Raw genomic sequence first — 16369 nt, forward strand, 5'->3', positions numbered from 1 at the left:
ATCATATAAACAGAACTGATGACAAAACCAGATGATTATCTCAATAGATGCAGAAAAGGCTTTGGATAAAATTTAACACTCCATAGTGTTAAAAAAAAAAAAAAAAAAACCTCTCAAACTAGGTATTGAAGGAGCATACCTCAAAATAGTAAGAGACATCTATGACAAACCCACAGCCAACATCATACTTAATGGTTAAAAGCCAGAAGCATTCCCCTTGAAAACTGGCACAAGACAAGAATGCCCTCTCTCACCACTCCTAGTCAGCATAATATTGGAAGTGCTGGGTAGAGCAATCAATCAAGAGAAAGAAAGAAACTGCATGCCAATAGAAAGAGAGGAGGTCAAGCAATCTCTGTTTGCAGATGACATGATCCTATATCTAGAAAACCCCATAGTCTTGGCCCAAAAGCTCCTTAAGCTAATAAACAACTTCAATGAAGTCTCAAAATACAAAATCAATGCATAAAAATTACTAACATTCCTATACACCAACAACAGTCAAATTGAGAATCAAATCATGAACACAGTCTCATTCACAATTGCCACAAAAAGTATAAAATTCCTAGGAATACAGCTAACCAGGGAAGTGTAAGATCCCTGTAGGAAGAACTACTGAACACTGCCCAAAGAAATCAGAGATGACACAAACAAATGGAAAAACATCCCATACTCATGGATAGAAATAAATAATATTTTTAAAATGGTCATACTTCCCAAAGCAATTGATAGATTCAGTGCTATTCCTATTAAACTATCAATGACATTCTTCACAAACCCAGAGAAAACTATTTTAAAATTCATATGGAGCCAAAATGAGCCCAAATAGCCAAAGCAATTTTAAGTAAAAGGAACAAAGCTCGGGGGATCATGCTACCTGAGTTTAAACTGTATTACAGGGCTACATTAACCAAAACAGCATGCTAGGCTGGGCACAATGGCTCACACCTGTAATCTCAACACTTTGGGAGGCTGAGGCGGGCAGATCACCTGAGGTCAGGAGTTCGAGACCAGCCCGGCCAACATGGTGAAACCCCATCTCTACTAAAAATACCAAAAATGAGCCGGGCGTAGTGACGGGTGCCTGTAATCCCAGCTACTCAGAAAGCTGAGACAGCAGAATCACTTGAACGCGGGAGGCAGAGGTTGCAGTGAGCTGAGATCACCCCATTGCATTGCAGCCTGGGCAGCAAGAGTGAAACTCCATCTCAAAATAAACAAACTAACAAACAAAACAAAACAAAACCAGCATGCTTCTGGTATAAAAACAGACACATAGACCAATGAAACTGAATAGAGAGCCCAGAAATAAGGCCACACGACTACAACTACCTGATCTTTGACAACACTGACAAAAACAAGCAATGGGGAAAGAACTGCCTATTCAATAAATGATGCTGGGATAACTGGCAAGCTGTATGCAGAAGATTGACACTGTACCCCATTCTTACATCATCCACAAAAATTAACTCAATATGGATTAAAGTTTTAAATGTAACACCCCAAACTATAAAAACCCTAGAATACAACCTACGCAATACCATTCTGGACAAAGGAATGGGCAAAGATTTCATGACAAAGACACCAAAAGCAATTGCAACAAAAACAAAAATTGACAAATGAGATTTAATTAAACTAAGAGCTTCTGTACAGCAAAAGAGAGTATCAACAGAGTAAACACATAACCTACAGAATGGGAGAAAATTTTTTCAAAGTATACCTGTGACAAAGTTCAAATATCCAGCATCTATAATAAACTTAAACAAATTTACAAAAAAAAAAAAAAAACTGAGTAACCCCATTAAAAAGTGGGCAAAGGACATGAACAGACACTTTTCAAAAGAAGACACACATGCAAAAGAAGCATATGAAAAAAAGCTCAACATCACTGATTATTAGAGAAATGCAAATCAAAACCACAATGACATACCACGTAGCATGAGTCAGAATGGCTATTACTGAAAAGCCAAAAAAAAAAAAAAAAAAAAAAAAAAAAAAAAAAAAAAAACAGATGCTGGTTAGTTTTCAGAGAAAAAGGAACACTTATATACTGTTGGTTGGTGTGTAAGATAATTCAACCATCATGGAAAACAGTGTGGCTATTCCTCAAAGACCCAAAAAAAATATACTATTCAACTCAACAATCCCCATTAGAGGATTGCTGTGTTGAATGGTATTATTATGCCCAAAGACATTTGCAGCACTATTCACAATGGTAGAGACACAGAATCAACCTAAATTCCCACCATTGGTAGACTGATTAAAGAAAATGCGGTGTATATACACCATGGAATACTATGCAGCCATAAAAAAGAACAAAATCATGTTCTTTGTATGAACGTGGATGGATTTGCAGACCATTATCCTTAGCAAACTAATGCAGGAGCAGAAAAGCAAATACCACATATCCTCACTTATAAGTGGGAGCTAAATGATGAGAACACCTGGACACATAGAGAGAAACTACACATACTGGGGCCTATTAGAGAGTGGAGCTTGGGAGGAGGAAGCAGATCAGGAAAAGTAACTAATGGGTACTAGGCATAGTACCTGAGTGATGAAATAATCTGTATAACAAACCCTCGTGACACAAATTTACCGACATACTAAACCTGTACATGTACCCCAAAACCTAAAGTACAAGTTAAATTTTAAAAAATACCAATGTCATTTTCCTAAAATTCACGTGGAACCAAAAAGGAGCCTGAATAGCCAAGGCAATCCTAAGCAAAAAGAACAAGGGCAGAGGTATCACAATACTGATCCCAAATTATACATCAGAGGTACACTAACGAAAACAATAAGAAACTGGTGTTAAAACAGACACAGAGATCAGTGGAACAGAATAGAGATCCCAGAAATAAAGCCATGTACATACAGCCAACTGATGTTTAACAAAGTTGACAAAAACATACACTGGGGAACGGACAGCCACCCTCTTCAATGGTGCTGGGAACATTGGATTACCATATGCCGAAGAATGAAACTGGATCCCTGTCTCTCACCATATGAAAAAACTAGCTCCAGATGGATTAACGAGTTAAATGTAACACCTGAAATTATAAAAATATCCGAAGAAAACCCAGGAGAAACTCATCTGGACATTTGTCTAAGCAATTAATTCATGACTAAGTCCTCAAAAGCACAAACAACAAAAACAGAAATAGACAAATGGGAATTAAACTGAAAAATTTGGCACAGAAAAAGAAATAATCTACAGAGTGAACAGACCACTGGCAGAGTGGGAGAAAATATTTGCAAACTCTGCATCCAACAGGGGATTGATAGTCATAATTTATAAGAAACTTAAACAACTCAACAACAAATAAAAAAAAGACCCCATTAACAAGCAGGTAAAGGACATGAATAGACACTTTTGAAAAGAAGACATACAAATGGCAAACAAGCATGTGAAAAAATGCTTAATGTCACTATTCATCAGACAAATTCAAATTAATACCATAATGAGATATTATCTTATACCAGTCAGACTGGCTATTTTTAAAAAGGAAAAAAAGATAACAAATGTTGGTGAGTATATGTAGAAAGGAAATGCTTATACACTGTTAGTGGGTGTGTAAATTAGTACGATCTATATGGAAACAGTATGGAAATTTCTCAATGAACTAAAAATAGAACTACCATTCAATCCAGCAGTCCCACAACTGGGTATCTACCAAAAGGAAAAGGAATTATTATATCAAAAATATACCTACACTTATATGTTTATTGCAGCACTAGTCACGATAGCAAAGATATGGAATCCACCTAAATGTCCATCAATGAATGAGTGGATAAAGAAAATATGGTAGCGATGAGTGGCCAAGATGGCCAACTAGAAGCAGCTAGTGTGTGTGGTTCTCACAGAGAGGAACAGAGAGGAAGAGAAACTGCCAGTAAACACAACATCTTCAACTGTAACATCCAGGTACTCACATTGGAATTGATCCAGGAAACAACTTGACCCACAGAGAATGAAGAAAAGCAAGACCGGAAAACAGCCGACCTGGGAGCAACATGGAGCCTTGCCCAGGGAAGTGGTGAATGAATGAGCGACCCTGGGAAACCACACTTCTCCCATAGATCTTTGCAACACTCAGGTCAGGATATGTCCTTGTGAACCCAGTCCACCAGGACCTTCAGTCTTCAGTCTGACAGACAGAGCTACATGGAGCTCTGAGCAGCTGCTCAGGCATGTGTTGGAGACCCTGGAGCCTTAAATACTTGGGCTTACTGGCAAAGGTAGCTGCAGCTCCTGCAAAGTGGAGGTTAGACTATGGTACATACCCCTAGGAAAGAGGCTGAATCCAGGGGGCTGAGAAGCAACAGCCTGCAGGCCCCACTTCCAAGGCACGTCACAATATAAGACCCACTGGCCCCACTTCCAAGGCACGTCACAATATAAGACACACTGGTTTGGAATTCCAGCCAGCTACCAGGAGTGGCATTGCACCTCCCTAAGAAGGAGCTCCTTGGTGGAGGGGCAGGCCACCATCTTTGCTACTGGGGCACCTTAGTAGTTCCAGCCATCAGGCTTTGAAGATTCTGAGCTGACCCAGGGCAGAAGGGATCCTCAAGCATAGCACAGCTGATCTACCAAAACATGGTCAGACTGCTGCTTTAAGTGGGTGCCTGATCCTATTTATCCTCACTGAGAAGGACCTCCCAACTACGGTCTCCAGCCACTTCCTACAGGTGCTTTTGGAACAGCAACAGGTTTGTACCTCCCTGGGATAAATCTCCCAGAGGGAGGGACAGGCTATCATCTTTGCTGTTTTGCATCCTTCACTGATGACACCTCTGGGTTCTGGAAAATCCCAGGTGACTAGAGACTGGAGCGGGCCCCAAGCATACTGCAGCAGCCCTAAGGAAAAGTGGCCAGATTGTTACATGCGTGCCTGTTCCCATATCTCCTCATCTGGCAGGCCCTCCAGCCTGTGCTTCCAGCCACCCCCCGCCAGAGCTGTTGAGCCAGTACAAACTCAGCAACTCCCTGGACAGAGCCTCCAAAGGCAACTGAAAACCTCTCTGCCACTGCCTCTGCTGTGGAACTGTCCTTGCCACCCCCAGACTAATGAAGAAGCAAAGACCCTAAGTGCTTTATCCACATCTCCAACAAGCTACAGACACAAGGAGAGGCCAGTCAGTCTCCCCCATGCCCCACACAACTCTCACGGTTCATAACCAGACAGTAAACCCCTGGCTTGGGCCCAAAGCACAAACCTTCTCTCTTGGGCTGACTGGATGGAGTGATTGCTTACACCTGCATCTCTCTCTGCGGTAGATCCCCCAAGAGTCAAGCAAAATAACCCTTGGCCACAACCACCAAGATCTCTTCATCTGCTGCCTCTGAGCTGGGGAAGGAACATAAACACTGAGATCGCCTAGGAACTGCAGTGGGCAGCTAAGGAGTGCCAAGTCATGAACTACAGCAAGCACTCAAGGGGGAGAGGAAGCCACCCTTTCAGAGCACGAGAGGGAACACAGCTGCAACTGTGAGGAAACATAGGGGAGCCACACAACCAAGCAAGGGTCTACCAACTGACCAGTAAGGCTAAGTGTCACCTGCTGGATCACATCCCAAAGCTTCAACCCCAACAATACTTTACTAACATTTCCCCATCTGAAACCAGAGACAAAAAGTCAGCTTCAAATAAAGACTCTACACAAAGCCTTGGCCTGGTGAAAACATCCAAAAAAGAAGTCTATTGACTGTATTCAATTTACACTGCAATTAAAGGAACAATCACACACAGAGATGAGAAAGAACCAGCCTAAGAACTCTAATAACTAAAATGGCCAGAGTGTCGTATATTCTCCAAATGATCACACCAGCCCTCCAACAAGAGTTCTTAACAAGGCAAAACTGCCTGGAATAACAGAAATAGAATTCAGAATATGGATAGGAACAAAGATCATTGAGATTTAGGAGGATGGCAAAACCCAATCCCAGGACAATATGAATCACAATAAAGTGATACAGGAGCTGAAGGACAAAACAGTCAGTGTAAAGAAGAACCTAACGTGTCAGGCAGAGCTGAATAACACAATGGAAGAATTTCACAATGCAGTCACAAGTGTCAGCAGCAGAATAAACCAAGTTGATAAAAGAATCCTGGAACTTGAAGACTGGTTCTCTGAAATAAGACAGTCAGACAAAAATAAAGAAAGAAAATAAAAATGAATGACAAGAATCTCCAGGAAATATGGGATTATGTAAAGAGGCAAAATCTACGAATCATTGGCACCCCTGAAAGGGAAGGGGAGAAGCAAACAACTTGGAATATATATTTCAGAAGATTGTTCATGAAAACTTCCCAACCTTGCTAGAGAGGCCAACAGTCAAATTCAGCAAATACAGAGAACTTCTGCAAGATTCTATACAAGAAGATACTCCCCAAGACACATAACCATCTGATTTTCCAAGATTGAAATGAAAGAAAGAATGTTCAACACAACTGAGGAAAAAGGGCGGGTAACCTACAAAGGGATTCCCATCAGGCTAACAGCAGACCTCTCAACTGAAATCCTACAAGTCTTAAGAGATTGGGGGCCTATATTTATTCAACGTTCTTAAAGAAAAAAATCTTCAACCAATAATTTCATATCCAGCCAAATGTAGCTTCCTAAGTGAAGGAGAAATAAGATCCTCTTCAGATAAGCAAATTTTGAGGGACTTTATTACCACTAGAAGTGTCTTACAAGGGATCTTGAAAGGACCACTAAATATAGAAAGGAAAGATCACTACCAGCTAAGACAAAAACACACTTAAACACACAGACCAGTGTTACTGTAAAGCAATCACACAAACAAGCCAACATAGTTACCAGCTAACAGCATAATGACAATATCAAATCCACACATATCAATACTAACCTTGAATGTAAATGGGCTAAATGCCCCACTTAAAAGGTACATAGTGGTAAGCTGGATAAAAAAGCAAGACCCCATAGTATTCTGTCTTTGAGAGATCCACCTCACGTCATGACACTCATAGGCTCAAAATAAAGGGATGTAGAAAAATCTATCAAGCAAATGGAAAACAGAAAAAAACAGGAGTTGCAACTCTAATTTCAGAAATACAGATTTCCAACCAATAAAGATAAAAAAAAGACAAGGAAGAGCATTACATAATGGTAAAGTGTTCAATTCAACAAGAAGAGCTAACTATCCTAAATATATATGCACCCAACACAGGAACATCCAGATTCAGAAAGCAAGCTCTTAGAGACATACAAAGAAACATAGACTCCCACAGAATAAGAGTGGGAGACTTCAACACTCCACTGACAGCATTAGATAGATCATTGAGGAAGAAAATGAACAAACATACTGAGGACATAAACTCAGCATTGGACCAAATGGATCTGATAGACCTTCACAGAATTCTTCACCCTAAAACAACAGAATATTCATTCTTCTCATTGCCACATGGCACATACTCTAAAATCAATTAAGTAATTGAACATAAAACAATCCCCAACAAATGGAAAAGAACCAAAATCATTCCAAACACCTTTTCAGACCACAGCTCAATAAAAATAGAAATCAACACAATGAAAATCTCTAAAAAACATACAATTATATGAAAATTAAACAACATGCTCCTGAAAGATTTGTGGTAAATAATGAAATTAAGACAGAAATCAATAAGTTCTTTAAAAATAATGAGAACAAAGATGCAACATACCAGAATCTCTGGGACACATAGAAGGCAGTGTTAAGAGGGAAATTCATAGCACTAAATGCCCACATAAAAAAGTTAGGAAGATTTCAAATTAACAATCTAATTTCACAACAGAATGAATTAGAGAAGCAAGAACTGATCAACCCCAAAACTAGCAAAAGATGAGAAATAACAAAAATCAGAGCTGAACTGAAGGGAACTGAGGCCCATAAAAGCCATTCAAAAGATCAGTGAATCCAGGAATTGTTTTTTTTTTTTTTTGAAAAAAATAAAATAAAATAGGCCACTAGCTAGACTAATTAAGAAAGAAAGAGAGAAGATCCAAATAAACACAATTAGAAATGAGGAAGGGAATGATACTACTGACCCCACAGAAATCAAAACAACAATCAGAAGCTACTACAAACATTTCTACACACACAAACTAGAAAACCTAGAAGATATGGATAAGTTCCTGGACACATACAACCTCCCAAGGCTGAGCCTGGAAGAAATTGATTCCCAGAACAGACCAATAACGAGCTCTGAAATTGAATCAGTAATAAGCCTACCAACCAAAAAAAGCCCAGGACCTGATGGAATCACAGCCACATTCTACCAGATGTACAAAGAAGAGCTCACACAATTTCTGCTGAAATTATTTCAAACAACTGAAGAGGAGGGACTCCTCCCCAACTTATTCTAAGAGACCGTCATCATCCTGAAACCAAAACCTGGCAGACACACAACAAAAAAGAAAACTTCAGGTGAATATCCTTGATGAATATTGATGCAAAAAAAAACCTCCACAAAAATATTTGCAAACCAAATCTTGCAACACATCAAAAAGCTAATCCACCATAATCAAGTAGGCTTCATCCCCAGGATGCAAGGTTGGTTCAACATACAAAAATCAATAAATGTGATTCATCACATAAACGGAACTAAAGACAAAAACCAAATGATTATCTCTATAGACGTAGAAAAGGTTTTTGATAAAATTCAACACCTCTGCATGTTAAGAACTCTCAATGAAGTAGGTTTTGAAGGAACATACTTCAAAATAATAAGAACCTTCTATGACAAACCCACAGTAAACATTATACTGAACGTGCAAAAGCTGGAAGTATTCTCCTTGAAAACTGGAACAAGACAAGGATGCCCTCTTTCATCACATCTATTCAACATAGTATTGGAAGTCCTAGCCAGAGCAATCAGGCAAAGGAAAGAAAAAAGGGCATCTGAATAGGAAGAGAGGAAGTCAAACGATCTCTGTTTGTGGACGATATGATTCAGCTGACACATAACTTCAGCAAAGTTGCAGGATACAAAATCAATGTACAAAAATTACTAGAGTTCCTATACACCAACAACAGCCAAACTGAGAGCCAAGTCAGAAAGACAATCCCACTTATAATTGTCACAAGAAATTAAAATACCTAGGAATACAGCTAACTAGGGAGGTGGAAGATCTCTGCAATGAGGACTACAAAACACTGTTCAAATAAATCAGAGAAGACACAAATGGATGGAAAAACATTCCTTGCCCATGGATAGGAAGAATCAACTAATTAAAATGGCTAGACTGCCCAAAGCAATGTACAAATTTAACACTATTCCTATCAAACTACCAACAACATTCTTCACAGAACTAGAAAAAAATAAATTTATATGGAACCAAAAAAGAGCTGGAATAGCCAAGGAAATTCTAAGCAAAAAGAACAAAGCTGGAGAAATCACATTACCTGACTTCAAACTATACTACAAGGCTACAATGACCAAAACAGTGTGGCACTGGTACAAAAACAGGTGCATAGACCAATGGAACAAAATAGAGAGTGCAGAAATAACAGTGAATATCTATGACCATCTGATCTTTGACATAGCTGACAAAAACAAGCAATGGGGAAAAGACTCCCTATTTCATAAATGGTGCTGGGATAACTGGGCTAGTCATATGGAGCAGATTGAAGCTGGACCCCTTCCTTAAAGCATATACAAAAATTAACTCAATATGGATTAATGACTTAAATGTATAACCAAAAACTATAAAAACCCTGGAAGACAACCTAGGCAATACCATCCTGGACCTAGGAATGGGCAAAGATTTCATGAGAAGGACACCAAAAGCAAGCAGAACAAAAGCAAACATTAACAAATGAGATCTAATTAAACTTCAAAGCTTCTGCACAGCAAAAGAACCTATCAACAGAGTAAACAGACAACTTACAGAATAGGAGAAAATATTTGCAAACTATGCATCTGACAAAATTCTAATATCCAGCATCTATAAGGGACTTAAACAAATTTACAAGATAAAAACAACCCCTCTAAAAAGTGGGCAAAGGACATGAACAGACACTTTTCAAAAGAAGACCTACATGCAGCGAACAAGCATATGAAAAAACAACTCTATATCACTGATCATTATAAAAATGCAAATCAAAATTAAAATGCAAATCAAAATGGGTATCATGAAAAAGAAAAAAAATTAACATATGCTGGCAAGGTTACAAAGAAGAGGGAACACTTATACACTGTTGATGGGAGTGTGAATTAGTTCAATCTTTGTAGAAAGCAGTATGGGGATTCCTCAAAGAGCTAAAAGCAAAACTACCATTTGACCCAGCAATGCTATTACTGGGTATATACCCAGAAGAATATAAAGCATTCTACCAGAAAGGCACATGCATGCAAATGTTCACTGCAGCACTGTTCACAATGCTAGGGACATGGAATCAACTTAAATGTCCATCAATGATGGACTGGATAAAGAAAATGTGGTATATATACCCTACGGAATATTATGCAGCCATAAAAAGGAACAAGATCATGCCTTTTTGGGGAAAATGGATGAAACTGGAGGCTATCATCCTTAACAAACTAAGGCAGGAACAGAAAACCAAATACTGCATGTTTTCACTTCTGAGTGAGAGCTAAATGATAGGAACTTATGAACACAAAGAAGGGAACAGCAGACACTGAGGTCTACTTTAGGGGAGAGGGTGGTGGAGGATATGAGCAAAAAAGATAACTATTGAGTACTGTGATTGATACCTGGGTGATGTAATAATATGTACAACAAACCCCCATGACATATGTTTATCTGTGTAACAGACTTTCTCATGTACCCCCAAGCCTGAAATAAAAAGTTTAAAAAAGAAATAAAATATGATTTACACATACAACATGGGATACTATTTAGCTGTAAGAAAGAATGACATGTCTTTTGCAGCAACATGCGTAGAACTGGAGGCCATTACTTTAAGTGCAACAAGTCAGAAATGAAAATTCAAACACTGCATGTTCTCACTTATAAGTGGGAGCTAAATGACATGTATACATGCGCATAGAGTGTAAAGTAATAGTCATTGGAGATTCAGAAGGGTGGGAGGGCAGGTAGGGGGTGAGGGTTGAGAAATTACTTAATGGGTACAATACAAACTGTTCGGATGATTGTTACACTAAAAATCCAGAGTTCACCAATACACAATATATCCATAAAACTGCACTGGTAACCCTTAAATATATACTTTTATTTAAAAAAAATGGAGTTAAATATAAGACCTGACATGACAAAACTGATAGAAGAAAACATAGGGAAAAAATTTCTTGATATTGGTCTTGGCAATGATTTCTTGGATATGACACCAAAAGCATGGGTAACACAAGCAAACATGAAGTGGTACTATATCAAACTAAAAAGCTTCTACACAGCAAAGAAAGCAATCAACAGAGTGAAAGGGCAACCTACGGAATGGAGGAATATGTTTTCAAATCATATATATAACAAAGGGTTAGTATACAAAATATATAAGGATATCCTGCAACTCAATAACAAAAAATAAACGCTAAAAGCCAAGACCTTATCTCTATGCAATATATGGATGTATGAAACTGACACTTATACATCCTAAATATATTTAAATAAATAAATATATATATAGGCAACAGAGCTGAAAATATTTTTTTTCTTGAAATAAGACATACAAATGACCAACAGGTATATGAAAAAACATGTTCAACATCACTAATCATCAGGGAAATGCAAATCAAAACCGTAATGAGATATCACCTCACACTTGTTAATAGGACTATTATTTTTAAAAATATATATAAGAAATATTGGTGAAAATGTGGATTAAGAGAACGTTTGCACAATTATATTGGTGAGAATGTAAACTGGTTTAGCCAGTATGGAAAACAGTATGTTGGTTTCTCAAAAAATTAAAAATAGAACTATCATACCATCCAACGATCCCACTTCTGAATATATATGAGGTAAAATCATAATCTTAAAGAAATATCTGCACTCCCGTGTTCATTGCTGCTTTATTAACAATAGCCAATATATTAAAAACCCTAAATGACCAACAATGGATGAATGGATTTAAAAAACCTGGTATTTATATATTATATACAATGGAATTTTATTCAGCTTTTACAAAGAATGAAATCTTCCCATTTGTGACAACATGAATAAACCTGAAGCATGATATGCTAAATGAAATAAGTCATACAGAGGGACAAACACCATGACACCACTTATATGATGAATCTAAAATAGTCAAACTCATGGAAGCAGATATTAGAATGGTGGTTGTCGTGCACTGAGGAGAAGAGGAAACAGGGTGCTATTAGTTGAGATGAGCAAAGTTTCAGATGTACAAGATGAATAAGTCCTAGAGATCTACTGTACAGCATAGTGTCTATAGTTAACAATACTGTATTGTATACTTAAAACTTTGCTAAGAGGGTAGGTCTTATGTTACATGTTTTTATCACACAAACAACAACAATAATATATAAAGTGGACAGGCAGAAACTTATGGAGGTTTATGGTATAGACTATGGTAATGGTCTCATGGATATATACATATGTCCAAACTCATCAAGTTCATGCAGTATATATTTACAGCTTTTTGTATCTGAATCATACCTCAGTAAAGTAGTTTTTAAAAAAGAAAATAACAAATCAAATAACTTAATAAATATGTTTAAATTATAAAAAGAAGAGTGTAGAGTACCATAAGGGCTATACATTATGACTTGGTCAATAATTACAGTGACTAGACATTGAGGCAATAATGAAATTAAGTGAACAAGAATAGAAGGCATTGAGGATACAGAAGTAAATGCTCAGTTATCGGTAAGTGCAAAATGTGAATGTTTTCCCAGTAACATTGAATCTCTGCCTTTCCAAACCAATTTCAATGATTTAAATATATGTAATTTGAACATAATGTAAATGTGTTATTTTCAGATTCAGTGACTGAAAAGGACAACTTTTATACTTTTAGGTGTATGTGTGACTTTTTACCTATATTGTAGCACTTTCACTTTTAAATGCATCTTTTCATTTTCATCTAACTTACTATTTTCTAGTTGTCCGGTGCAAGTTGAAATTTTGGTTCCCAAGTAAAATTTAACTAAGTAACTCCTGAATCAGCTTTATGTATTGCCCTTTTTATGTATCATTCCAGACCTGCGTTTTGAGAACTTGTGGCCAGGTGCTAAACTGCTATTCTAAATCTATCAGTGTTACACTGAGAAGCTTCCTGAGGATAAGAATTTAATTGAACAGTTGAATAAAAGGCCAAATTGCTATGAAAAATTCATATGAACCAAAACATCTTTTCCACTGCTTTCCTATCCTTGAGTATAGTTTTATCTGAAGACACAGATATTCAGGTGCTGTACTGAAGACTAAACAAATAGGATTTAAGAGTTTCATAAGCTTAAAGTCACTGCAATTATGGTATAAATTATGGTGATGGTTTCATGGGTATAAACTTAGCTCCAAGCTCATCAAGTTGTACACATTATATATGTACAGATTTTTGTATCTCAATTGTACCTCTGTAAAGTAGTTTTTTAAAAATAAAATAAAAAATCAAATAAATTTTTTCTGCACCATGAGGCAATACAAAATATATGTTATATAGGCTATACCTCTAAACTTTGAATAAAGTGTAAGGAGCTATATAAAAGACAACAAAAAATGCATGACCATATGTGGTAAGGAGATCGTATCCTTTAGAGATTTTTTTTTTAACTCATGTGTGAGCTACTTTAGGACTTTAACAAATACATCTAGGTTCCATCAGGAAACTTGGTCTTCTGCTCCATATCTTCACCTAAATAACTGACCTATAATGGTTCAATCTGAGACTCAGTTTCCTCATCTGCAAACTGAAGAATTAAACTAGCTTCTAAATCTTTTGTACGAATTAAAAATATGTGGGGAGTCTGGCTCATTAATTCTCTTAATATCATCATAGGAGACAAACATTTTACAACGAATTTTCTTTATCTGTGAGAGGGTTTAGATATTTGTATACCTTTAGTTTTCAGAGTTAGGAAGCATATATTGTTCACTGAAATCCATTATTTACCCTACAAATAATAAAATACCTATTAATTCAGTAATTATCATAGCCAGGATTCAGTTCTGAGGAGCCAATGTAAATTCTGGAAACTTATTGATACAGTTTTGATTATGAGGCACCCAGTCATGGTGATCCTAAGCAATGTCCATTTGTTTAAATCATTGCCATCATATTTTCTGTCTAGACATACCCTTTGGGAGCTGAATGGGTTATCTGGGGGACTGGAATTTTATAAAGCTAAACTAGATGTGGCAAGAAAATCTCTTTGGCCATCAAGATAATGTACAAATGTATATCATCAGTTTAGATACTAAGGAAATTTCCCTTCAGATTTTTTCTTTGCGATGATTTAGAGACAATCTAATGTGATGAAAAGTTTGCTTCATTACGAGTTTTCTATGCATCATAAGGAGTACAGAATGGCAAAATAGAACCTTAGTTATTCTACCAAACACACAGTTAGACGGTTTAGGCTGTATTTACCTCAGCTTACATATTTGATAAGGATTCACCTTACCTCTTAGAATCAGGATCTTCTAATGACAGTTATGTTTCTTTTTTGAAAAACCAATATTTGCCTTCTTTTCCTTGAATCACGTTTTTATGGTAGGATGAATTTTACTGAATTCTGAAATAATCCTTCAAAATCTACCAGATTTTTCTTTTTGGCCCATGGTAGCAGTGTACCAGTAGATGATTAGGGACATTATCTAAAAATAATTAAGTTGAATTCACTAGACTTTTTGGAGGACATCGTTGGAGTATGGATTGTTCTGGTACTTTTAGTACTTGTTTCCTTATATATGGTTGTGTTGCTGTCTGATATAGACTTCCTAGGAGAAATAATTTCAAACTTGCATATTCACTTTTTAATCTATGGCCATTACCCCACACCCCACCTTTTTATACCATTATGCTGAGAGCTTTATTTTAATATCTGACTTTTATTAATACAAAAGATTATAACTATACTACAGACGCTGGCTATATAGGTACATGCCATATTTTCATTCATTTGGTCCCTCAGTGTATAAGTATTAGGCAGATAAAAAGGTAGAAAGAATACCTGAAGTCTTTTCCTTCTTCTCCCCCTCCCTGCTAAGCTGATCCTCATAGGCTAGGCAGCCTATCCTTTATAAAAGTGCCAGCAAGGATATGCACTAGAAAAGGGTTCCTTTAGATATGCACTAATGAGGATACACACTCAAAGGGGTTTCATTTAGAATTTCAGAGTGCTCCCACTGACAATGTTGTTTTAGATGGAATTTACTACATAGTGAATTCTGTCCAAAATAACTGTCCAAAACTCTTAGCAGACAAAAGAATACATTAGCAAGAGTCTTGGAATTTTTTAAACTATTTGCATTTTACTATCTTTGTTTTATTTGTGTTTCAAATTGGGGATCAGATATATATTTAATATATATTTTTCTAAATTTATAAACTATTCATTGTAGCATGAAGGAATTATAAGAATTGAAAGTTACATTGTTAAAAATATTAACAAATTCAAGTTAATTTTGGTTTGTGCTATGTAGCATAGCTCTGTTAAATAAATTTATCCAGCTTTCAATTACATTAAGAAATGATCCCCATTTTACAAAGGATCATCCATAGCTCAAGCCTCAGTATCATGCAATATTTTCATGTGAAAAGCCTGCACTTGTACCCCCAAATCTAAAATAAAAGTTGAAATTATTAATATAAATAAATAAATGGAATGGAATAATTCTGCTTTTAGGTATAACAGCTGCAGCGATGGCTGAGGCGATGAAACTTCAGAAGATGAAGCTTATGGCTATGAACACTCTTCAGGGAAATGGAAGCCAAAATGGGACCGAATCAGAGCCTGATGATCTTAATTCTAACACAGGTGAGTGTCTTCCAGAATCCCAGACCAATGACTCTTACTGTTCTATTGTGGGGCAGGAGAGAGGTGGGATGAGGATGGAGGAGAGAATAATAAGTCTACTTTGGTTATAAAGATACTCAAGAGGGATGATTAGCTCTATTGCTAACATTTGTACACTGAAATTAGAAAACAGTTACAAGTCATAATCTCATTTTGGAAACATTTAGTTATCTTCACTGTTTTGCTGTGGTAGAATTGTATTATAATTCCTATAATGTTAGCCATTGTGCTCTCTGCCTGACAAAGACTGGTCCACTCAGCATCACCTCAGGTTTCTTATTCCATCCTATTCTAAATAATTTACCACTGAAAGGCAATGCTGACAGTCCAGGTTGGCTGGGCTGAAGTCTTTTCAGCTGGAGTACCACTTCCTTAGCTAAAGGAAAGTGCTGGCTGACTCC

The 16369-nt window shown here is 37.0% G+C and overlaps 1 protein-coding gene across 8 annotated transcripts in view; it reads left to right on the forward strand.

Moving 5' to 3' along the window:
• DACH2 (dachshund family transcription factor 2) overlaps nt 1-16369 on the forward strand; it is a 684152-nt gene that overhangs the window by 486788 nt on the left and 180995 nt on the right. For all 8 annotated transcript variants that reach the window (XM_011530846.3, NM_053281.3, XM_017029254.2 and 5 more), the window contains one exon: nt 15798-15929. In XM_011530846.3, the coding sequence (XP_011529148.1) occupies nt 15798-15929 (132 nt within the window). The remainder of the gene's footprint in view (nt 1-15797; nt 15930-16369) is intronic.

This window comes from Homo sapiens, chromosome X, assembly GCF_000001405.40.
Source record: "Homo sapiens chromosome X, GRCh38.p14 Primary Assembly".
Lineage (NCBI taxonomy): Eukaryota > Metazoa > Chordata > Mammalia > Primates > Hominidae > Homo > Homo sapiens.